Genomic DNA, 23,686 nt, shown 5'->3' with positions numbered 1-23,686 from the left:
TGGTTAAGAATATGTGTAGAGAAGTCAGTTACCTTCTCTGTATCTTCACCAGGTATAAGAATGTCATCCACGTACTGAAGAAGGCATATTTGTTCTGGGATGACAACTTTTTCTAGTACTTGTTCTAAAATTTGGCCAAAAAGATTAGGGGAATCTGTGAACCCTTGAGGCAAGACCATCCATTGATATTGTTGTTTCCGCCCTGAGTGGGGATCCTCCCATTCAAAATATATCAGCTGTCTTCAGCCAGGGGACATGCCCAAAAAGCATCCTTCAAATCTATTACAGTAAACCATTGATGATTATATGGAATCTTGCTAAGAATGGTGTAAGGACTGGGGACAATGGGGTGGGTAGTCTGGACTATTTGGTTGATAGCTCTAAGGTCCTGTACTAGCCGGTATGACCCGTCTGTTCTTGACTGGCAGTATTGGGGTGTTATATGGAGACATACGGGGCTTGAGAAACCTGTCCTTAATAAGGCCTTTGATTATAGGTTTCAACCCTATCCTACCTTCTAGGGGAATAGGGTATTGCTTCCTTCTTACTACTTCTCCCGGGGTTTTTAGCATGATGTGGATCAGAGGGACTTGGAGTTTCCCTCAGTTTCCTTCTTTGGGCAGACATTAGGATTAATATATTTTTCATCCGCATTGGTGGGTAGGTTTCATGAAGTGAGGAATCCTCTTGGGCTGACTTGTAGACCTATGCCCAACTTTAACATTAAATCCCTCCCCAGTAAATTAGTTCCTGCTTCAAGGATTAACAAGAACTGAATATGAGCTGAGTGATCCTCGTATCTAACTTCTGTGCTTTCTAAAATGTTTGCTCTAAACCCTTCCCCTTTTACCCTGGAGACTAAAAGTTCCTCTGAGGAGGAGACAACATTAGACGAGGGGAAACAAACAGAGGAGTGAGCAGCCCCTGAATCAACTAAAAAAGTGATAAGCTCATGTTTAGGTCCCACCTCCAAATTTATCAGGGGCTCCTGGTGGGACTCAAGATAAAAGAGACAGAGCCCCTGACTCCCTTATTCTTCCTTGAAAGTCATGAGTGGAAGGGCTTCTTTCTCCTTTCTTAGTTCAGGACATCCTCTCTTGAAGTGGCCTGTTCTTCCACATCTATAGCACTTATCTTGTCCTTCCTTCCTCTTAGTTCTGGGATTCTTTAACTTTGCTCCCCCATACTCTTTAGGGGGCCTGGTAAACTTGGACCTTGGTCCTCCAGATGGAGGCTGGGTCCTTTAAAATAGGGTTTAGACCCTTTATAGTTTCTGGCTCCCTGGAAACTCTGTCTAGAAGTACCTGGGTTTGGAGCCATCTGTTGGAAGGTGGAAAACATAAGTTTTGTCTTTTGTTTCTGTTTTTCTTCATCCCTTTTCACATATACTTTCTGAGCTTCCCTGAGGAGCTCACTTAGCAGACGGTCTTCCCAATTGTCTATCTTTTGCAACTTTTTTGAAGTGTCTGGCCAACTTTTAGTGACAAACTGGAATTTCAACATTCCTTGCCCAAAGGGATCATCCAAATTGAGGCCTGCATATTGCCTCATTTGCTCCCTCAGTCTGTCTAGGAATCTCATAGGCCCTTCATCCTTTTCCTGTTGTATAACAAATGCTTTAGAAAGATTTTGGGTTCAGGGTACTGATTCCCAAATTCCTTTTATTATCATCTCCCTTAGTTCCTGCATATTTTCCCAGTGACCTGCATCGTTATTGTCCCACTGGGGGTCTCGAGGGGCAGGGAATTTCTGGTCTGCGGTAGGAAAGTTTTCACCAGGAGGGTGCTCACATTCCTAAACTACCATAGCAGCCCTGTGAATCATACTCCTTTCTTCCCCTGAAAAGAGGATGCCCAAGATGGACATTAACTCCACCCAAGTGTATAACTGAGGTCCTAAGAATTGGTCAGTTTGGTCTGCCACTCCATAAGGGTCATCTAGTAGTGGTTTAAGCTCCTTTTTAAAATTCCAGACTTCTGAACTGGTTAAGGGAGCATTTACAAAGCCAATGGCCCTCCCCACCTCGTGGTACCTCTTTCAAAGGGAAGAGGGTCAGGGCTGACCTCTTAGGTACAGAGAGAAATGGGAAATTCTGAATATCTTTTTTACATTGTTCTACCTCACACTAGAGTCCTTTTGGAGAGGGATATTTAGGTTGGGAGGGAACAGGCTGGTGGGACAGTAATTCCCAAGAGTCAGGGTTATAAGGAGGAGGGACAACGTGAGTAGAGGGGAAATTTGGAAAGGGATCTGAGGCGGCAATGGCTGTCTGAGGGGAAAGACTGAGGACACTGAATGGGGGAAGATAGTCTAGGGGATCCCATGCACTGGAGTCTTTAGGCATGAGAGCTGGCTCCTCTGACTTTTAATTTTGATGTGCTAGATTGGGTTCTTCCCTATCTGTTTTTAAGGGAAAAAGAAGGGCAGGTCCTTCCCTCCAACAAAGGGCATAGCCTAGTTCTTCTTGGGACACTGGACTTTTATCATTAATGTATCAGATTAGAAGCTGACACATTACACCCTCATTTGATCCAAACCTTGGCCAGAAGATTGAGGGTCTGAGGATGGGTCCCTGAGTCCAAATAAAACAGCAATATTTTATCATTTGTTGCTTTTTCCTATGTTTAATCCTTTCATTATCCTTTCATTATCTTTCCAGTATTTTAGCATGAGACCTAGGGGGCTATCTGGGGGGATATCTTTGTTACCATCTTTATCCTTCTTGCTCCCTGTCTTGCTTGGGGTATTTCCCATCTTGATGGTTTTGGGGTAGAGTTCAAGGTTCAATTTCCCTTACTGGAAATTTCTCACCTTTTGGGGTGAGGCTCAATTCCCCCCACTGGAAATTTCTTGCCTTTCGGGGTGAGGTTCAATTTCCACCACTGGAACATACTTGCCTTTTCTATTACTGGAGGTTTGTGTGAGGTTCAGTCCCTGCCAATGGGGATGTCTCACCTCTTTTTAACCTCTAAGCCACCCTGACCAAGGAGTACTTCACCACCCCCTGCCACGGCTTTCTTACCTTGCTCCCAACCACCAAGGAAATACTTTACCGGCTCCCATGGTGTCTTTTCCTCGGTCCATGCACACACTTGTGTGGCCCTTATGGAGGATGCTTTAAGCTAGGTTGCTAGCCAGTTTCTTTCCATGTAGCTGAGAGCTCAGGTTATTCTTCACACTGGGTGGGTCTTGATTTCTCACCCCTGAGGCCGCCACAGTGGGGTGGGGTGCACCTCCTCACAAGAGAGAACCAGAGACCACCCCCGGAGGGGAATGTAATCCCGGATGAGCCCCCAAATTGTTATAAGTAAAGTTTCGGTGCCACAAAAGAAATAGCACTCGAATATAAAATTTTCTTTTTAATTCTCAGCAGGGCAAGGTACTTCTATAGAAGGGTATGCCCTTACAGATGGAGGACTGGTGAGTGCACACCTGGACAAAGGAGGGAAAGGGGTTATTTTTCCTTATGCACATGGTCCCTACTGCTTTGTCATTCCCCTATTGGCTAGGGTTAGACCGTACAGGCTAAACTAATTCTGATTGAGTAATTTAAAGAGAGTGACAGGGTGAGTTGTTTGGAGGGAAAAACGGTTATGAAATGAGTCAAGGTGGAGAATGAGTCAGGGTGGAGCAGGTAATCGGAATGAGTCAGGGTGGAAAATGAGTCAGGGTGGAGTAAGTAATCAGAATGAGTCAGGGTGGAGAATGAGTCAGGATGGAGTAGGTAATCAGAATGAGTCAAGGTGGAGAATGAGTCAGGGTGGAGTAGATAATCAGAAAAGGTTGCTTTACAAGGAAGTTAAGTTTAAAAGTAGAAGGCAAAGAATTGAACATACTGTCATATTAATTCTTTGAAGAGAAATTTATAACTCATATTTAACATCATGATTACACAGCATTCATCATTAAGATGAACATCATGGTTCATCTTAAACCGTGAGGCTGAAGTCAGAGGTGACACATGAAGGATATGGCAAAGCCACTCCACTTGACAATGAACTTCAAAAACCACACTGATGTTATAAAACCCAAATATTTTACTGCACATGCTTACTGGCTGACTTGCACAATACTTCCATTATAATTACGGGACAGACACAAAATGAAAAGAATATTTTTAACAAAGCACTTGCACGATGCAGCCGTACCCATTCTTAATGATCATTAATGTCTCATCCAAAGAGAACCATACTTTGTTTCATTTACTGAAGGTCAGCATACTGGGAAGCAATTGTCATCACATCTCAGACCTTTTTGCATATTTGTCCTCATTGTTCTGAGCCTTCATGTGCTCAGACTAGTTGATTGGTGTGTAGATTGTCTGTCATTAAAGCCATTTGGAAATCAGCTTTGTCACTGGTTTAGTGTTGGAACTTCAGATCCTAGAAGACACCACTGGAAAGCTCTGTGCACTAGGAAAGGGAAGGTGCATGGCCCTGCTGAGCCCAACCTCGGGGCTGGAGGAAGAGACTGACCTTGACCTTGACCTTGAGCCTAAGCAATGCCCCAGGACACTGAGACACCACACCTCCAATAAAGAAAAACTGTGAATGGCAGAAGGAAGGAACCATTGTTTGGGGGCTAACAAGGAGAAAGAAGTGCTCAGAATCACCATTCACTGTCGGAGTCACTCAGCAGGGTCAGCTGCTATCAGCCAGGCAGCTGAGGCTACAGGTCAGGAGGCCACAGGTCCTGTGAATAACCCACATTCCAGACATCAGCATTTCACCCACATGACTCCACCTCTTATCTGCAAATGGGGCCACCCTGAAATCACTTTGCTTACGAAGGAGGAGAAAGGGGGTGGCCCGTCTCTCTGAGTCCTGCCCCTCCTAAAACAGAGCCATGAAGCCAGGTCTTCATGATGCAGCCATAGCATTGCAAACTGTTTCCCATTTCCCCAGAACATGTTTCTAAGCTTCCAGGTCTTACCGGAAAGGCGTCCTAATCCAGACCCCACAAGAGAGTTCTTGGATCTCATGCAAGAAAGAATTTGAGGCAAATCCGTAGAGTAAAGTGAAAGCAAGTTTATTAGGAAAATAAAGGAATAAACAAATGGCTATTCCATAGACAGGGCAGCCCCAAGGGCTCCTGGTTGCCCATTTTTATGGTTATTTCTTGATTATATACTAAACAAGGGGTGGAGGGGTGGATTATTCAAACCTCCCCTTTTTAGACCATATGTGGTAACTTTCTTATGTTGCCATGGCATTCGTGAACTGTCATGGTGCTGGTGGGAGTGTAGCAGTAAGGATGACCAGAGGTCACACTCGTCACCATCTTGGTTTTGGTGGGTTTTGGCCATCTTCTTTGCTACAACCTGTTTTATCAGTAATGTCCTTACAACCTGGATCTTGTGCTGACCTCCTATCTCATCCCGTGACTTAGAATTTCTAATCTACTGGGAATGCACTCCAGCAGGTCTCAGCCTTATTTTACCAAGCCCTTACTCAAGATGGAGTTACTCTGGTTCAAACACCTCTGACATTTCCCTCCCTCTCTTTTATAGGAGAACCCTTAATCCTAAGAGTTGTAGAGGGTCAAAGACCATCTTTTGTAATTTTTTTAGGCTGAACAGGGGCAATGATATTCCTAACTATTGAGTTTCTTGCATTCAGGGTAGAGAGGAGTTTAATTAGAAAGCATTGGTGTGGCAAGGGCCATTCATAACTTTTGAGTTCCAGCAAAAGGTGATATCTGGAAGATTAATAAGTGTTTAATTTAAGAGAACATTTGGTAAGCTTATTCTGCTTTTTACACAAAGAGTACAATGGCAATATGTTTTACAACAGTAAAGCAAAATAAGTAAAATTATCCCAAGTAAACTAAATTAGAAGGCATTTTATGAAATGGGCAATTGTTGAAACTGAGCTGATATGGGATTGCTAGCTGATTTTAATACATGCCCAAAATTAGAATATTGATTTAGACTTTTACATTACCCATACATCTTGTTTCTTCTGAGCAGCAGTCATAGATCACTGGTTGGTTCACAGGAATAAGAAAAGTTAGTCTAAATTGCAGGAAAAAAACTTAAAAACAACTGATGAGACTAGAATTTAATAACAGGTACACCATAGTTCTTGAAACATAATGTTTTTTCTTTCCCATCTCCCATTTTTACCAAAGACAAATTGTGGTATGACTGATTTGCTTTATTATACTTGGCCTGATTATTTGTATAAAGTGCAGCAAGAATAATTATTATTCACACAGGCTTTTAAAATTGGCTTTGATGGAATTTTGTTCCATAGAAGGAATCTCAGTTAAGACAGTTTTTTTAAAAGCAGAGTTCAGACATGGGTTTGTATCCTCAAATACCTATATGAGTTGGGTGAATTTTTTTCTTTTGAGGTTTTAAGATAACTTGGGGCTCCTGGGCCTGTCAGAAAGTGACATTTTTTACTTAACACAGGTCAGGAACCCTGTACAGGGACTATGTAGACAAGGTATGAGGCCAGTTTTACCAAGGGGATTTTTTTTCTTTTAAGACAAGAGTCTTGCTCGGTTGCCCAGGCTGGTGTGCAGTGGCAAAATCTTGGCTCACTGAAGCCTCCACCTCCCAGGTTCAAGTGATTCTCATGCCCCAGCCTCCCAAGTAGCCGAGATTACAGTCACATGCCACCACACCCAACTAATTTTTGTATTTTTAGTAGAGACAGGGTTTCACCATGTTGGCCAGGCTAGTCTTGAACTCTTGACCTCATGTGATTTGCCCACCTCAGCCTCCCAAAATGCTGGGACTACAGGCATGAGCCACTGTGCCCAGCCCCCAAAGGGTTTTCATTGGCTCTGTAAATTAAGCTTGATTCCTTAAAGGAAAGCACATCACTCCAGTGAAATCCTTGGTAAAATAACCAGTTTCTTTAATTGTGTCCTGTTGCAAAAGAAAGCAGATTTTTATTTCACTTATGCAAATAACTGTATTGCCATAAGAATACTTACAAATAGTTTCCAAATTCTGAAGAAATCAGGTAGAGAGAGGCAAATATGCTTCAACTTTTGTTCACAGGAGTAGACTTAATTGTTAAAAGCTGTAAATAGCTTAAAAGAAAAGTTTCCTTGACTCCGAAAAACAAAACAAGGGATAAAAGACTACTTTAGACTTCTATTAGTTTGGTCCATGCATAACTCTGGTTTGATATTTATGAACATTTTAGCTGTCCATGAGTGCTGAAAATTTTTTTCCTCTATTCTAATGTTACAATCTCCAAAGTTATTAGAAACCTGCATTTAAGCATACCTGTTAAAGTCCTATAGTTGATTATAAAACCACCTTTTGAAGGAGATTAGCACAAGACAATTGTTTGTGGATGGCAAAGTCTTAGGGTAGCCATGGTCAAAACCACAATTAACAAATTTTTTACCTCAGCGTCACACAATAACACAACAATTATAATTATTACTGATAATGTACACGAAGTCCTATTAGAATTATAAGAGTTTTCCATAATTTTGGAACACATACCAATATTTAGTGCATGTAAGATTTTTCATTTGCCAATTTTTTAATTTGATTACTGGCTTCAGGGTGGAGCCCTTGGAGAAATGGGGCTGGGAAAACAGTTTCTACAGCCTAATAAGCAGGCACAGCTGGAAGACAAAACAAATCCCCCAAAATTAAAGGTCTCATTTTTATATCAGATTTTGGATTCTAAAAAGAGAGCATTAGCCCATTCTGTGATCAGCGTTTCCCCCATGGGAGTCTTATCTCTTAGTGTGTGTGTTAGGGGACACATTTCCATAACTTTTAGGTGGCCAAGAGCATGCTTCTCTGATCCAAATGTGCAAAGAGCAGCATATCCCCCCATAACTGCCATTAGCCATTCATAAAATTACATTTTTTACCTAGTTATTATACACCAAAGCTTTTTTATAATGTGAAGTAATTTTTGATACCCCCAAAAGTCATAAATGTCAGATAACACAAAGTAAAATAGAATAGAGCCTTAGATTTTGAGAGGGACGTATCCATTCTTAATTCCTGGGGTTTTATGAGAAAAACAGAATTTTTCCAAAATGGGGTTTGTGGTGCCTCCTCTGTTTTTCCCAAGGAGTTCCAGCAGGTTAGAAATTGAATATCTGCTTTTAATTAAGCTGATTTTTAACCACAGAGCTCTTTATTTTTCTTTTTTTCTTTTTTTTCTTTTCTTTCTTTTTTTTTTTTTTTTTTTTTTTGATATGGCATATCGCTCTTGTTGCCCAGGGTGGAGTGCAATGACGTGATCTCAGCTTACCGCAACCTCTGCCTCCTGGGTTCAAGAATTCTCCTGCCTCAGCCTCCCGAGTAGCTGGGATTACAGGCATGCACCACCACACCTGGCTAATTTTGTACTTTTAGTAGAGACAGGGGCTTCACCATGTTGGTCAGGCTGGTCTTGAACTCCCGACCTCAGATGATCCGCCCGCCTCAGCCTCCCAAAGTGCTGGGATTACAGGCGTGAGCCACCACGCCCAACTGAGCTCAAAAAAAAAAAAAAAACCTTTTAAATTTCTTATTACCCAACTTTAGCCAGGCCAAACGGCCAGTATTTCTGGCTTTTGAACTTTACCAAAGGTAAACTCCCAGGAGCTTAGAGAAAGGAAAATTTAAAACCATTTGTGGAGGGGAAGAGAATTAACAAATGTTTACACAGATATTAAACCAGAAAGGACTTATTTTTTAAGACAGGAATTGAGCCCTGAACCTGGGCCGCCACTGTGAAGAGAGAAAGCCTTAGCTACTGACCTACATACAGCCTTGGGCAGTCTCCATTGCTCTTATCAGAAGGAGCCCAGAGCAGCAGATTTTGAGCTTGTGAAGGCTTTTAACTGCTTGAGATGATTTTTAGGGCTAACTTACATGAACTCCAAAATTCCTATTCTCCAGATGACAGAGACCAAGAGAAAGTACCGCCATATGGTTACAAGGTCAAGCTCCCAAGGACATGAAACAAGATGAGAGGAAAACTTTATTCAGTTTTTTTTTTTCCTCAGGGACCTGCAGCAAAGTTTGTTACTGACCAGTTTGCAAGGCCATTTTGAACAGCAGGCTTATGGGGTCCTAAGCCTGCATTCTATCCTAAGTTACCCCTCTTTATGACAGAACAATACAGAAAAATATGCAAAGCACACCAGATTTACTACAGCTTAAGACTAGCCTTACGAATCCCTTTTCCTATTAATCAAAACTTTATAGAAAGAGATAAACTGATTTTTACCATTCATTCAACGGGCACAGAGAGAGAGAATGGTTTGCACAGAGAGAACGAGAGAGGCCAGAAGTCTGACTGGTAAGAAATCCTTTCCCTTTTGCTGGCATGCCAGGCTGGTGGGTTCCCTTTCCCTGAATGGCCCTAGTGACCTGGCTCGCTGCTCCACAGCCCTGGGGACAAAGCCGCGACACAAAGGAAAATAATCTTTTTCTGTTCTGGCCAGAGCAAAATACATGACAAAACATGGACATTAGCCACTATGCTTAGCACTCAATATCAAACTGGCAAAGCTCAAGCTTGCCCCCGGTTGGGCCCCATCACTTTTTTGTTTTTTGTTTTTTGTTTTTTTTGAGACGGAGTCTCACTCTGTCGCCCAGACTGGAGTGCAGTGGTGTGATCTCGGCTCACTGCAAGCTCCGCCTCCCGGGTTCACGCCATTCTCCTGCCTCAGCCTCCAGAGTAGCTGGGACTACAGGCGCCCGCCATCACGCCCGGCTAATTTTTTTTTTTTTGTATTTTTAGTAGAGACGGGGTTTCAGGGCCCCATCACTTTTAATCCAACCCCCAACCGGGAGTTTCAACTTGTGGTCTCTGGGCAAGATGGTCGCCCTGAGTAATAGAAAAGATAAGAAAGGAAAAGGAAAGAGAGAGAAAGCAGTGCCTGTGGCAGGGTGGGGAAGGTGAAGAGCTCAAGGAGGCCAGAGAAAGACCCAGCCATTGTAGTGACACTGAAAAGTTCGGGCAGCCGCTTGTCAGTAGCAAAGGGATCTTTTCCAGCAGTCCCATCAGCTCTCAAGTTTCCCCCTTTAGGGAGCAAAAAGCCCCCCATGTCCCATGATTCTGTCACCCATAGCCATCAGCAAAGAGTGCAAGGCAGATTAATCCAAAGAGAATAGCAGTTAACATCCCTTAGTGCCAAACATGTTCTTAGCTGAGAGGGACCTTACTGAGAGGGGCCTCTAACCCCCTAAATCTTAGGAAGGACTCTAACCCTCCTAAGTTGGGCCTTGAACCCAAGTTCAGTCAAGCTTTCTTGCCTTTTATTAAGAGTTGCCTTTAACCCACTCTGTCTTAGGAGAGACTCTAACTCCCTTAAGTTGGGCCTCTAACCCAATCCCACCCTTCACCCGGGTAAATGCAAATGACTTACAAGGTCAGCCAATCAGTGTGCAGTCTATTTCCTTTGGGTTGGGGGTCTCTTTAGTATCATCTCTTCCATGGTTCACCGGAAAGATTTTACAAGAAAGTGGTCTCAATCCAGACCCCAAGGGAGGGTTCTTGGATCTCACGCAAGAAAGAATTCAAGGCAAATCCATAAGGTGAAAGCAAGTTTATTAGGAAAGTACAGGAATAAAAGAATGGCTATTCTATAGACAAAGTAGCCCCAAGGGCTGCTGGTTGCCCATTTTTATGGTTATTTATTGATGATATGCTGAAGAAGGGGTGGATGATTCATGCCTCCCCTTTTTAGACCATATAGGGTAACTTCCTGACATTGCCATGGCATTTATAAACTGTCATAGCGCTGGTTGGCATGTAGCAGTGAGGACGTCCAGAGGTCACACTTGTTGCCATCTTGGTTTGGGTGGGTTTTGGCCATCTTCTTTACTGCAACCTGTTTTATCGGCAAGGTTTTATGACCTGTATCTTGTGCTGACCTCCTGCCTCATCCTGTGACTTAGAATGTCTAACCTCCTGGGAATGCACTCCAGCAGGTCTCAGCCTTATTTTACCGAGCCCCTACTCAAGATGGAGTGGCTCTGGTTCAAACGCCTCTGACACAGGTGCATGCATTGCGGGTGCTGTCATGAAAGAGGTCAAAGTGTTGCTTTCACAAAAGGAGATGTGCCCTCTTACTTTGCTTACCTCAAAACAGCTGGGTAAGCCTAGACATCCTTGGGACCAGGATGTTGTCTCGGCCTCTCAAGGGACCAGGGACCAGGAGGGCAGGCTTAGCTCAGAGCTCCTGGGCAATTGTCCTCCATCCTCACAGCCACCCCGAGGATGAACATTTCCCCCCATTTTCCAGACAAGAAGCCCAAATCCCAAAGAACTTTCCCAGGGCCATCTCTCATGGCCTGCAGGAGGGACTGGAACTCAGGCAGGGCTCTGTCAGGCCTCTGAGCTGGAGCTAAGCCATTGTAACCCCTGTGACCTGCACGTATATATCCAGATGCCCAGCAGGAGCCAAGAAGCCTGGAGCAGCCAAGAAACCACAAAAGAAGTGAAACAGTCAGTTTCTGCCTTAACTGATTAACCAACCTTACGACATTCCAACATTATGACTTGTTCCTGCCCTACCCTAACTGATCAATCGACCCTGTGACATTCTTCTCCTGGACAATGGATCTCATGATCTCCCCACCATGCACCTTGTGACCCCCCTCTCCTGCTGACAACAGATAACTACCTTCAACTCTAACTTTCCACTGCCTACCCAAGTCCTATAAAGCTGCCTCTCTCCTATCTTCCTTCGCTGACTCTCTTTTCGGACTCAGCCCACTTGCACCCAAGTGAATAAACAGCCTTGTTGCTTACACAAAGCCTGTTTAGGTGGTCTTCTATATGGATACGCGTGACAGGCTCCTTCCTCTAGAGGGGGCTGGTGGGCACCCACAAAACGGTATCCATTTAAAGAGAAGCAAATGCAAATTCAATGAACATTGTTAAACTATAGGGCTTTTATTTCCCCCTAGGTTCAAGTTCTGGACTGCCGTCAAGTTAGTCAAGTTTTAAAAATATGGATGACGATATGACCACAGTATTTGGTAAGGAAGCCCCTCCTATCAACCTCTGGCCTGTACATGAAGGGGACTGGATGGTTGTCTGTGGCTTTTTCCCAGATAACCTGGTACCAACTGCAGACAGTGGAGGGAACTGATTGGTTTGGGGCTAGAATCATATACCAATGGCCCATAGCTTTACTGCTGACATCTAAGAGTCAAACTCTCAAGAAATTAAGGAAGACAGAATTTTAGACCATTACACCTAAAAAGTGCGTGGGAGCCTTGCTTCTCAAAGTGAGGTCCAAGGACCCTCAGCGTCTGCATCATCTGGTTTGGGGAGCTTGTTAGAAACGCCCAGCGGCAAGCCGGGCCCAGCCCTCCAGCACCAGCACCGCATTCAACCTGATGCCACCGATTCCTGTGCACCTGAGAGGCCCCATGGCTGAGCCGTCCCCTCCTCCACCGCCTCAGCCCTGCCAGCCCCCTGGAAAGATGGTGGAAACTACAGACCCCCTGGCCTCACCCCGGGGATGCAGGCCGTGCTGGTTTGGCTGAGCCTGGTGCCTCTGTGCTTCTCTAGGGCTCTGCAGGTGATGCTAAAGTACAGCCGGCTGAGAACTGCTGCCCTGGGCCAGGGCCGTCCAATAGAAACACAGCATGAGCCGAAGATGTGCTTTTCATTGTCTAGTGGCCACATTAAAAAGATGCAGATGAAACTCATTGCAATAACATTGTATTTCACGTGATGATTTCAACATGGGATCAGTGTCAAATTACTAGTGAGATGTTTCAGTCTTTCCATCACGCTGGCTCTCCACAGTTCCATGTGTCCTTTGCCTTCACGGCCATTTCCACGTAGACAGCCGCGCTCCAGGGTGTGAGCGCTTAGCCAGTGCCTGCACTTCTGCTCTGACCTCTCGTTTTACATGTGGGTAAACTGAGGCCCAGAATGCTGGGACTCAGAGCATGCAGTCCTGACCCCTGCTCACATCGATGCCCTTGGGAAACAGTCACCTCCCAGGACCTCTCTGCCAGCATTGCCTGTGGAGTGGGGTCGGGGTAGAGGATGGGGCCACCTTCCACCCGGCAGGGCCCGGGACTGCGGCTGTGAAGGCTGCACGGCCTCGAACAGGGGCTCCCGTGGGAACGCAGGGCCCCCAGGTGCTGGGCCCTTTCCAGGAGCTGTCGCTGTCAGAAGTCAGGCTTTGCTCCCTTTCCACATCTGGGTGGGAGAGGCCTGGGAAAAGCTCTGCCTGCCTGCGTGTTTGATGGGTTAGGTGGATGGATGAGTGAGCGCTCCAGTGAATGAATGGGTGTTCCCATTCTCGCTTCTGCCGCCCCGTCCACTTTCTGGGTACTCAAGCGAACTGCCCCAGGCAGGAGTTAGACTCCCCAAGGTCAAGGAATGGCTGTGACTGGACTCACTTTCCTGGTGAATCTGGCGGTTGCCAGATTCTGAGAGTTTTAGTCCTGAGACCAGCACCTGCTCCAGCCAGTGTCTCAGCCACCCCCAGAGAAACAGTGGCCTCAGAAAAGGATTCTGGAAGAGGAAAGAGTGGCTGGCATTTCTGATATTTTTCCTGGGTCCTGACCAACTAAACCTAGAAGGAAGCAGCAGCTCTTACCCCCATCCACACCCCCAGATTTCTTCTAGGTAGAAAGCTGAAAGCATTGACAGTGAGAATTCAAATCCCTGTGGAGGTCAGTGAAGCCCACCCAGGCAGGCCAGGCCGAGACTCTCTGTCCAGAGCTTGCTGTGGGAGGGCAGTCACCACCATCACGTGCAATCTCAAAGCCTCTGAGTCACCATCACATGCAATTTCAGAGCCTCTGAGTCAGGCAGGGGATGGGGCCTCACTAAGGCAAAGGAAGCCCAGGTCCCGTGCAGGCTGCAGCTGGGTGTGCTGGGGGTGGCTCATCAGACGGGCGGTGAGGGGTTGGTGAGGGAGCATGTGTGGCTTTCTCTGGTTGGCTCTGAGTTGGAAGCGAGGACAAAAGCCATAGGACCTGTCGGTGATGGATGCATTCCTGGCCCTCTGGGGCCGGCTGGTCCAGGGATTGCGTTGTGGCTGCCTGAGTCGTCGCTAGAGGAGGTCTGACTTCTGGCAAGTCTGACTGTGGAGCAGGCCAGCCCCCTGGACTGGCTGCTGCAGGTGTGCTTGGCTCTGTTTTGATGGTTGTGCTCGTCATTGTTTGTATTTCAGCCTCTCCTATCTCAAAAAATTCAACCATCAGCAGTTACACATGGTTTTAAAACAAAGAGCTTCCTAACCTTGTTCCACTTGCTGGCTTCATCTCTACCTAAAGCGTTTTTCTAGCCCTGACCAATCTCCCCGAGGGTAGGGAGGCCCGTGGAAGGGTCAAGGCAGCCTTTCGCCCTGGGCAGCTCACCACGGGGTGGCTCGGCCTCCTGCCTCTCTTTGGCCCCCAAAGCCCTGACTGCTCTCCGAGCAGGAACGCGCCTCCCCGCAGCTGGGCCTCCATCCGCCCATCTCAGGGAATCCCAGGGTGTCTGCAGCTTGAGGAGTTTGGGTCCCCAGGAGGCCACTCCCAGCTTCGGGCATGGAGTGGACTGGGTCACACTGGGACAGGTCAGGGACTGTGGGTACAGTTGTTAGAGATGGAGAGTTGCAGAGACAGCCCATCCGCCATGGACGGGGGTGATCCCCAGTAACAATGGGGCAACCGAAGCCAGAGTTGGCCAGGAAGTTCAGACAGTGCCCCAGGAGGGCTCACTTCTTAGGGCTGGTCAGCTGAATCCTGTCCTCTGCCTGCCCCAATCTGCCCTGGGGACAGGGCATTTGCCCTTGGTGGGTGCTCTGTTACTGCTGACCTGCTGTGCCTGCTCACAGCTATAGAATCCTGACTCCTGGACATGGCTGGCTGGAGTGGGACAGAGACCAGTGACTGAGGCTGGGCTGTCTTTGGCCCCCAGTACCTGGCAGTGTCTGGTTCAGATGAGTGCCCAGTAAATGCTTGCCATTCAAATGCATATCCACTCTTCTCCAAGACCCCATCTCACTGGACACCACGACTGTTTAGGAACTTGGAATTCCTAAGATTGGTGCTTCCGTCCAATCACTGGCCCCAGCGGACAGAGCCTGAGTGGCAGCGCCCAGCCCCTTGGCTGGGATCCTGGGGCGCCCGCGGCTAAGAGGCAGGTGGCACGCAGCTCTGGTCCGGCAGCTCCGCAATACGAGGCCATGTCCCTGAGGTTGTCCTGGCCTCTCTTCAAGCTCCTGCCTCATGATCAAGGATGGTGTCCACAGTGCCAGACGCCTCGTCCACTCCCAGGGCAGGAGGCGGGGGTGCAGGCCTGGACACTGGTTCCCCTTTTATCAGGAGGAGCAAATTCCTTGCAGAGCTGGTAGACTCCTCCTACCTTACAGGGCTGTAGCCCACCTGGCCACAGAGGGCCTCACTGGGGGCACACATTGCCAAAACCCAGCTCTGTGAGCGAGAAAGAGGGACAGCGCGGCTGCTGGGCGAGACACCAAGAGCCCAGGACAAAGCATTTTTCTCGGGCGTATTGGTGGCATCTTCATTTCCAGCCTCTTCCCCTTTACCTTTGAATTCCGCACGAGCTGGTCCTAGAGAGACCAGACACCCACTTTGCCTGGGGCTGAGGAGCTCCTCTTTGAGGGACTTTTTGGGCTAAACCCAGAGGGCCCCAGCAAACCAGGACCCACTGCTCAGCCCAGCACTGCAGTCTGGCCTGGTGACTGTGCTGCAGAGACAGCGGTGACTCTCGGTTGCCACAACACCTGGCCATGGCCCAGGATCCGTGCTGAGCGCCTTCTGCATACACTGCTTTATTGGACCCTCAGAAAAGCCCACAGGCAAATACATACCCCCGTTTTACAGACAGGAAACCCAAGCTCAGAGCCGTGAGGATGCTTGTCCAAGATCACATTCTGGTGGGAGCAGAGCCTGTGTGTTTTTTCTGGGTCTCTCAGACACAAAGCTCAGGGCTCTCATGGTAAAAGCTCCCTAGGAGGACCCATAGGGACGTAAAAGAAGAAAATGAGGCTGTGTTGACACAGAGATCAGGAGCGACGCTTACTCACACACAGAGGGCAGCTTTGGGAGAGCCTCAGAGATGGGACAGAGGGACCCAGGGCAGGAAGGAGACTTAGGACCACGTGTGGGCCAAGTGTCCAGCCTTGTACCTTTGGGGGGCAATGTTCAGTGTCCAAAACGTCCAAATGGTCTCAGTTTTTCTGAAATTATTGAGGGAGGCAGCGGCCTGCCCACCCAGAGAAGGTTCGTTCGAAAGTCAAGTCCCACATCCCCTGGGTTCCCGGAGTTCCTGTTTCCCATTCACTGTGTGTACAGATGGCCTTAGGGGACAGGAGCCAAGGGCCAGCCCTGCAGGGCCGACTCCAACGTGATCTTGTGTGCTTCCCCCAAGATGAAATTCTGGTCCAGGAGATTTTGGATCTGAATAAAACAACACCGAGCAAAATGCCAAGTACAGCATCCACATTATCAACACCGATACGTAAAGAGAAAAGCAAGCACACCCCTTTCTAACCCTCTAATTGCCCTTATTCCTGGAGGTCTGTGGTATGGAATATGTGACCCTATAATTTGAGCATTAAGACCAGCTACTTCTGGGGCAAGGGCACATGGAGATGTGAACAATATGGCATCTAAAACCATTTCTACAGCTTCCCGAGACAGAGGAAGTCAACCCTAGACTGGCAGGGATAATTCCCTTTACTCTGGGATCTCTGGAGTGCATGTTCAGGCACGTTCTCGCCCTCGGGAGCCACTGCAGGAACACAGGGCACAAGAACCTGAGAACCCTGCACTAACCAACACTTTACAGTTCCTCCCACACACGCCCATGCTCTCACTTCACGCTCACCCAAGGCTTCTGAGAGAGCAGGGCAGTTATCATCATCGCATTTGACAGAAGGTAAAACCAAGGTCTAGCAAATGACTTGCCCAAGCCACACAGTGAGTCATGAACCAACACAAAGAATGGCCTTCCCCAAGTGCAGCTTCACATGGTCAAAGACATATGCAAGGAAATAGAACAGCACATTTAGAACCAAGACAGAGTACTGAATCAACAGTTGCCAAGGAGAGAACTGGGAATCAGAAATCCCCACGCAGTGCATGAAAGTGTATTCGGCAGCAGGAAAGTTCAGCACTCTCTTGAAATCTTGCACCCAGAATGTAAATTCCAGTTCCTAGGATTGGTTCACCTGCCATCTGCCAAGGTCCACACTGTTGGTTCAAGGGAGTCAGAGGACACCTGACTCTGTTTACACATTCACTTGCCAACACACATTTCCAAATAGAGCTTGCAAACCGTATTAGCATCCCATCCCTGCATTTTAAAATAAAGCATGGGCCAAAAATGTTTATACATGTGTAATCAAGAAAACTTTTCCCCATCCCATTTTTTCCATGTTCTTAATCAAAGAAGTCCATATTAAAGAGGATTATGACAACAGCACTTCTCAGAAACATCAGAAAAAGCTACCCTCTTCTGGGAATACAGGCAGATTTTCCTTCGATGGTAATTTCAGCCTTGCAATTACCCCTGCCCAAGTCCAGCTGTAACGGAAGAGGCAGGAGGCAGGCAGACGCAGGCAAAAACATCTCCTTTGTGGAGGATAAACCCTTGGTGGAAGAATGTGCCCGCTGCCCCCAGTTGGGCAGATCTCCCGGTCTCTGTCAGGACTGAGGGACCCCTAGCACCCCCCACCCCCTCCCATGGGGCCAACCCTGGAAAAACCACAGCCCAGAGAAGCACAGCAGAAATGTCTCGTGGGCAGGCAGATGTCAAGACAGGGAGGCAGGTGCTGCCACAATGCCTGGTCCTCTCTCCCAAAGCTTCAGCTATGTCACTTCTCCTCCCCGGGGCAGGCGCAGAGAAAGCCAGAGTGCCCCTGGAGGGTTCCCTCAGGAGTAAGGAAAAGCCTCCCTCCAACAGATGAGTTTGCTGCGAAAAATACAAGTGTGCAAAGGCTCAGAGGGTGAGGCACTTAGACTCCATATGGTGTGAAATATCTCCTCTTTATCCTAGAGATTCAAATCCAGAAAGGACACCTGCCCAGCACACATGTGCAGGATGTCTGTGGTATACCCCACACCCAGGACCAGGTCACAGCTCCCGAGCCTAATTATGCTCCAGGCACCAGGGAGAAGAGCTTATTAAATATCCATCCCTGAGTCAAGCATCTCTGTTGGGTCCCAGGAATCTGCATCCCAACCCATTCCTCAAACAGTCCCCCAGTAAGCCAGCCTCTGGAGCCGGGAAGGATTGAACTGGAGATGTTCTGGGCTTATGCAAGAATAAGATTCTATTTAAACCTAACATTCTTAGTATCTCTGAATTTTTCCCACTCATTGGCTTGTGCAAATTGCCTGATGGTTATGGGTTAAATATCACTGGGCATCTCCTTGGCAGGCGAGGTCACAGGTGAGTCTACAGGAGGGACCTCAGGATCCAGCTCTGTGAATCAGACCCATGAGCGCACTGAAGGAATGAGAGGAAATAAGAACAGACTGAAGCCGTGAGGCCGAGGCTGAGATGGAGTCAACGGGGAAGGTCTGAGTCTGGGGAAGCGGCAGAGGAAGAGGGGACAGCATAAGGCACACCTGGCTGTCAGAGAAGCCACAGAGAAAGAGCCCTCCAGGGCCCTGGGGCCACAGCCGCCCTCTGAGGGCATGGTGGGCATGAGGGCAGCCCAGGAAGTCAGCCCACACAGTCCTGAGCCTCCACCATGTCATTGCTGCCTCCTCTGCTCAGCCCTAGAGGCCGCTTCAAGGCCTCCAGGTGGAGCCTTCCTCCCTACACAACTCCTGAGCTCGGGACAGCACCAGACTCCTTTGGGCCCCAAAAGCCACACTCTAGTGTAAATGAATCAATGTAATTGAATTGTTCTGCCCCTAACCACCAAGCCAAGACCAGCTGCATTAGGGACTGAGAGAAAAGAAAGGTAAGTGATGAGTTTGGGATAATGGGGAGGGCCAGTCTAGAAGGGGATGTGAGGACACACAGAGGCTAACATGACAGCCTGGTAGACTGGGGAGAGGGAAGGCGTGGTGCCTAGAGATGCCAAGCAAAGGGAGGGCAGGGGAGATTGGAGAGGAGCGTCCCCACGTAGGGTCTGCAGTGAGCAACAGATACTTGGTGACGTGGTGTATCAGTCTGTTCTCACGCTGCTGTAAGGACATACCCAAGACTGGGTAATTTATAAAAGAAAGAGGTTCAACTGACTCACAGTTCTACAGGGCTGGGGAGGCCTCAGGAAAACTTACAATGGCAGAAGGGGAAGGAAACGTCCTTCTTCGCATGATTGCAGGAAGGAGATGTGCTGAGCAAAAGTGGCAAAAGCCATTATAAAACCATCAGATCTCATGAGAATTCACCCACTCTCACGAGAACAGCAGCATGGGGGTAACCGCCCCTATGATTCAACTGCCTCCCACTGGGTCCCTCCCATGACATGTGGGGATTATGGGAACTACAATTCAAGATGAGGTTTGGGTGGGGACACAGCCAAACTGTATCACATGGCATCTCAGAAAGCCACCAGTCTGCAATAGCTGCTCAGTGGGCAACTGATGGCAAATTTAAGATGTTAAGTGGCTCTTTGAATATTCAGACTTTTTGTTTGTCCAAATATTTGGTTGAGGTGGGCTCCTCTACCCTCACAGTCACCAGGGGACAAGCAGGCTGAGGGCCCTGGGCAGGAACAAGGCTAGTGGTGTCACTTACCCCTCTTACATATGGGGACACATGGCAGAGGCCTCACATCCTTAGGCCCAGGCCCACCGTGACGGGGGAGGCCTTCCTAGGAGCACCCATCACAGCTTCCCATCAGAGCGCTTCCCGTGGGGACCGTGCAGCAGGTGGGACCGCAGGTGTTGCTGTTTGCATGGTCAGAACGGCCCGGTGCCCACCACTCCCTATGGCCTGTCCAGCCCTTGGAACTTCTCTGGGCGGTGTTCCAGGCTCCCTGAAGGGTCAGGCCGCCAGGCTGGTGTCCATTTTGCTTCTCTCCACCCTCGATTCTGGAAACGCCCCAGCTATGCAGGAGCAGATGCAAATCCCAATGCTCCTGGCATCAAAGACAGGGCATTTCCTTGGCTGGGCTGCCCCTTCCAGAATCCCACTCCTCCTCTTCAAACAGACGCACCTGACAAACACCTGATATGAGGCCTGGCTCCCAGTAGTGGGTTTTGTATCCATTTATTCCACAGGTAGGGCCATCCCAAGGATCCTGGTCCTCATTGTTTAGGGCCAGCCTGAGCTCCATCACTGACTGCTCCAGAGTGCAGCCTCTGCAGAACCGGCCCTGGGCCCCGCACCCTGCAGTTATGAGGCAGAGAGTTTTCAAAGTGGGGCTCAAAGGAACGAAAAACTCTCAGTTGTTACAGCAGGGAAAACCCTGTGGACACTGACCCCTTTCATCCCCTGGTTAGGCTAGCTTCCTTACACAATGGAAAACCTGCAGACACTCACTGGCTCTGCTCCTGGGGCTAGGCTAGCTTCCTTACACAATGGAAAATCTGCAGACATGACGACGAGGGAAGATGGAGCCTATCATGTGATTTCTCCTTGTTCTGATGCTGATCTTTTTTGGCATAGTCTTTTATATTTGGCTTCTTAATGACATCAATCATATTCTAATGGACGTTCCAAGAATGGTCTCAGAAGATAAAGGAAAAGTGGCACACAGCAGTGACTTCACTTCACTTGCCGGTGAAGAGACAGAGGGTGGTAGGTCTACACTCTCAGATCCAACCAATTCTCTCAGCATCTGTTGGAGCTGATGGGGCGTGGAACAAGGTTTATGGTGGCTCTCTGGGACTGGGCAGGGTCGAAGCTAATGGCCTGGGGTCTAGAGCCCCATGGCCTGGCTGAAAGGAAAAACAAGAGCTTGGAGTTAAGTCATCATTTTTTGTCAAATCTTGATCATTGTCCTGAATTTTTTCCACAGAAGAGGAGAGAGAAACAATGTGTGAGATGAAAAGCCTCACAGCTCTGGAAAAGGTCATTGACACTCTTCCAAGAGCTTTAGGTAAACAGAATGTGAGACCCTTCTGATGACAGTTAAGTGCCAGAATGGTTGCTGCTAGGGGATTTCTTTTCCCACTCAGCAGACACGTGTGTCTCTGAGCAGCTCCAGGAAGAGCAAGTGAGTCCAGCCCCCAGGTGGACCCGCCTGAGCTCCACGGGAGCCCCGTCCAGACATTCACCTGTCCCAACAAGTCCAAATTCAAGGAGTCGCAGGCCACATCAATGAAAGCACGCTCTCTCTTCTCAGCCCAGGAATAATCAGGACTCACAAGGCTGCCAGCACCCACCTACTCAAGGGTCTCAACCATGTGATGACGGGAGCCTTCTCCCCCATGACAGGCCCAGAAAGGGCCCCCACACCCCCTTCAGGAGGCCCCCCACCCTCTCGTGGGGTGGGGACCCCCAGTCCAGCCCTTCTCCACTCCCTGTTCACACAGCTCCACCACTGTCCACCTGCTAAGAGTTGGCCATGCAGATCCTGTGGCTTCTGTCCCTGGCCCCAGGCTTCTCAGAGCTTTCCAGAACACCTGGGAGCCAGTCCTGGGTGAGGCTGACAGCCCTCTTGTCCTCCCGGTATCCCTGAGTCACATGGCAGCCCAGTGTGCCCAGCCCCTCCCCCCATACCCTGCAGCACTTGCCCGTCCACGCAGCCTGAGACCCTCCGTCTGGAGCGCGTCACACCATGAATCCCGAGCTGCTGTCTGTGAACTCCAAAGACTTTGGCAAATGAGCCATTGCCGAGCCACATGGCTGGCTTTTCATAGCCCGAGCACAGAGCCAGACATTGAGACCCTGTCACCTTCACTCACCTCCACTGGTGCTTCCCAAGCACCCACCACGTGCCAGGCACTGTCCTAGGCTCTGGGGTTTCTACATAAAACAGAGAGCCCTGCCTGGGAGCTTACCTGCTAGAGAACAGTTAGGTGGGCCTCCCTGTCCCCTCTTAAAGCATTGGGGTTCTGACTTTTCCATCCAGCCTGTCGGCTGCTGCTCCCAGCCCCTCACTGTCCACAAGCGTGGGAAGCCGGCCAGCTCGTCCTTTGTTAAAATGCCGAAGAGGACGGTCCCGGGAAGCGTCGCTGGAGACCTCCCTGCTACACCAGTTGTCATCGAGCACAGGCCAGGAGCTTCTCTGAAGTGGGGCCCCTAGCCCCCCATGTTCAGACTTTGCCAGGCCAGTGTCAGTCCCAGGACCACAAAACCCCAGGCCACAAGGTCTGCTCGTGCCCCAGCAGCAGGGACCAGGCCAACACACGCGGTGTAGAAAGGGCAGTGAGCGGTCGTTCAAGCTACAGCCAATTTCCCAGATTGTGCTGCTGTCCAGGACAACCTCTGCTGCTTTAGATACAATTTCATGATTGACCTTGTCAAGATTCCAGTTCCCTGGGACTTGACTGTTCTGCAGGGAGAACCACAAATTCTCCTATAACTCTAACAGCAAAAGACAGGGGCCTCTGCACTGATGAAGCTCCTGTACGTCACCAGCACCTCTAGGTGTGGCCGTCGGCAACAGAAGCCCCGGAGGTGACAGTGGGGACTTCCAGAGCCCTGGCAATGTTGGACAGTGAAGAACCAGGAGTCCCCAACCTCCTGGTACTGACATCCCAGGAATGAGATCCACAGCCGGCCGCTGTGAGGGGAGGAGGAGGAGGACCAGCCCAGCTCCGCCAAGCTTGGAGTTGTCAATGGGTTTTGAGGGAGAATGCAGGGGAAATGACACTGGACAGGGTGGCCCCACAGGAGAGCCAAAGGCAGCCTGACGCAGCCAGCGCCCCCTCCGTCCTCCTGCCCCGGACACATCCACAGGGCTCTCCCCTCCCTCCACAACTGAGGGCTCAGTTCCTCCTGTCCCCTGGTGTCCCCCCAATCCTGCTGGTGCCCATCTCCCCTCACACTGCACGCTGCCAGGCTCATCTGAGCCCCCACCCCCATGCCCATGCCAGCCTGGCCCTCTCTGGGCCTCTTGAATCCTAGCACACCCGGAGCACCCCCAGGGGCCATCCCAGCACCTCCCACTCAGATGACCAACCGGCCTCATTCCATTCAAGGTGCCTCTCCCTGTCTCTCCTTCCAGTCACCCAGCGCCTTCCTGGGAAACTGAAAGCAAGAATTCTGCTCCCTGAGCCCCACACCCACTCATAGAGCCAGAGGATCAGGCTCTGTTGGGGGCTGGGTGGGGCTGGAGCACAGGCTTGGAGCCGGTCTGACCTGGGTTCCAATCCCAACTTGGCCCCTATGAGCTGTGTGACCTTGGGAAGACCTTGGGCAAATGACCGCGCATCCTAAGCCTTCTTCATCTTCAAAGTGGGATAATCACAGCACCTGTACTGGGTGTTGAGGAGATGGAAGGAGATGCTGTCTGCAGAGGGTTGAGTGCAGGGCCCGGCACACAGGGAGCGCTTGGTACTCACCCCCTGCACCTGGGGAAGGCCACCCTGTGCAGCCCTAAGAAGGCATCTGTGTGGGGCGTGGACACTCAAAGAAGGGGAGTCTAATGCTACCAGCCACACCCGTCAGCCTCACAGCCCATGCTTATTGGTGGAGTGAGCCACGGTGGGTCTGAAACATAGGCTCTAAGAACAGTTAATGAAACACCCAGTTTCTCAAGAAACTCTGTTCTTTCCAACAGGAGATCATCTAAAGCAGAAGAGAAAGCTGCATGAAAGTGTACTGAGAGCCAGTTACTACAGGCGGACGCCACGCCAGGCTAGGACTAGGGCCGC

At 49.0% G+C, this 23,686-nt stretch overlaps 2 long non-coding RNA genes across 4 annotated transcripts in view, besides 5 other annotated features; one reads left to right on the top strand and one right to left on the bottom strand.

Moving 5' to 3' along the window:
- Positions 1–3,115, bottom strand: part of LINC00431 (long intergenic non-protein coding RNA 431) — a 24,576-nt gene extending 21,461 nt beyond the window's left edge. Inside the window, exon 1 of the long non-coding RNA NR_126378.1 lies at positions 3,023–3,115. This is a non-coding gene — a long non-coding RNA (long intergenic non-protein coding RNA 431). The remainder of the gene's footprint in view (positions 1–3,022) is intronic.
- The window catches only part of LOC105370364 (uncharacterized), a 26,210-nt gene extending 2,524 nt beyond the window's left edge, over positions 1–23,686 (top strand). Inside the window, exons 1-3 of one of the 3 annotated variants that reach the window (XR_001750030.2) lie at positions 9,110–9,272; positions 11,891–11,962; positions 12,501–12,646. This is a non-coding gene — a long non-coding RNA (uncharacterized LOC105370364). Of the gene's footprint in view, positions 1–9,109; positions 9,273–11,890; positions 11,963–12,500; positions 12,647–23,592 lie in introns of those variants that run through there. The other 2 variants (XR_931732.3, XR_931731.3) reach the window with 2 other exon arrangements.
- Positions 2,964–4,163: an enhancer, noted in NCBI's record as "P300/CBP strongly-dependent group 1 enhancer chr13:111617326-111618525 (GRCh37/hg19 assembly coordinates)". NCBI's record gives its function as "activates an origin of replication core promoter dependent on BRD2, BRD4, P300/CBP, MED14 and CDK7 cofactors, with strong dependence on P300/CBP, by STARR-seq in HCT116 cells {active_cell/tissue: HCT116}" and the evidence as "EXISTENCE:reporter gene assay evidence [ECO:0000049][PMID:35650434]".
- Positions 10,956–12,155: an enhancer, noted in NCBI's record as "CDK7 strongly-dependent group 2 enhancer GRCh37_chr13:111609334-111610533". NCBI's record gives its function as "activates an origin of replication core promoter dependent on BRD2, BRD4, P300/CBP, MED14 and CDK7 cofactors, with strong dependence on CDK7, by STARR-seq in HCT116 cells {active_cell/tissue: HCT116}" and the evidence as "EXISTENCE:reporter gene assay evidence [ECO:0000049][PMID:35650434]".
- Positions 11,313–11,876: a transcriptional cis regulatory region, noted in NCBI's record as "candidate enhancer chr13.1281 targeted for multiplex CRISPR interference". NCBI's record gives its function as "positively regulates ANKRD10 gene expression in K562 cells {active_cell/tissue: K562}" and the evidence as "EXISTENCE:mutant phenotype evidence [ECO:0000015][PMID:30612741]".
- Positions 12,421–13,222: an enhancer, noted in NCBI's record as "H3K4me1 hESC enhancer chr13:111608267-111609068 (GRCh37/hg19 assembly coordinates)". NCBI's record gives its function as "activates a minimal SCP1, AML or CMV promoter by ChIP-STARR-seq in naive H9 embryonic stem cells {active_cell/tissue: H9 hESC(naive)}" and the evidence as "EXISTENCE:reporter gene assay evidence [ECO:0000049][PMID:30033119]".
- Positions 16,895–16,944: a silencer, noted in NCBI's record as "silent region_5524". NCBI's record gives its function as "represses an Ori minimal core promoter by ATAC-STARR-seq in GM12878 lymphoblastoid cells {active_cell/tissue: GM12878}" and the evidence as "EXISTENCE:reporter gene assay evidence [ECO:0000049][PMID:35858748]".

The sequence above is a fragment of the Homo sapiens genome, chromosome 13 (genome assembly GCF_000001405.40).
Source record: "Homo sapiens chromosome 13, GRCh38.p14 Primary Assembly".
Taxonomy (NCBI): domain Eukaryota; kingdom Metazoa; phylum Chordata; class Mammalia; order Primates; family Hominidae; genus Homo; species Homo sapiens.
Note: the sequence above shows the minus strand (reverse complement) of the source record. Positions and strands in the feature narration are given on the sequence as shown.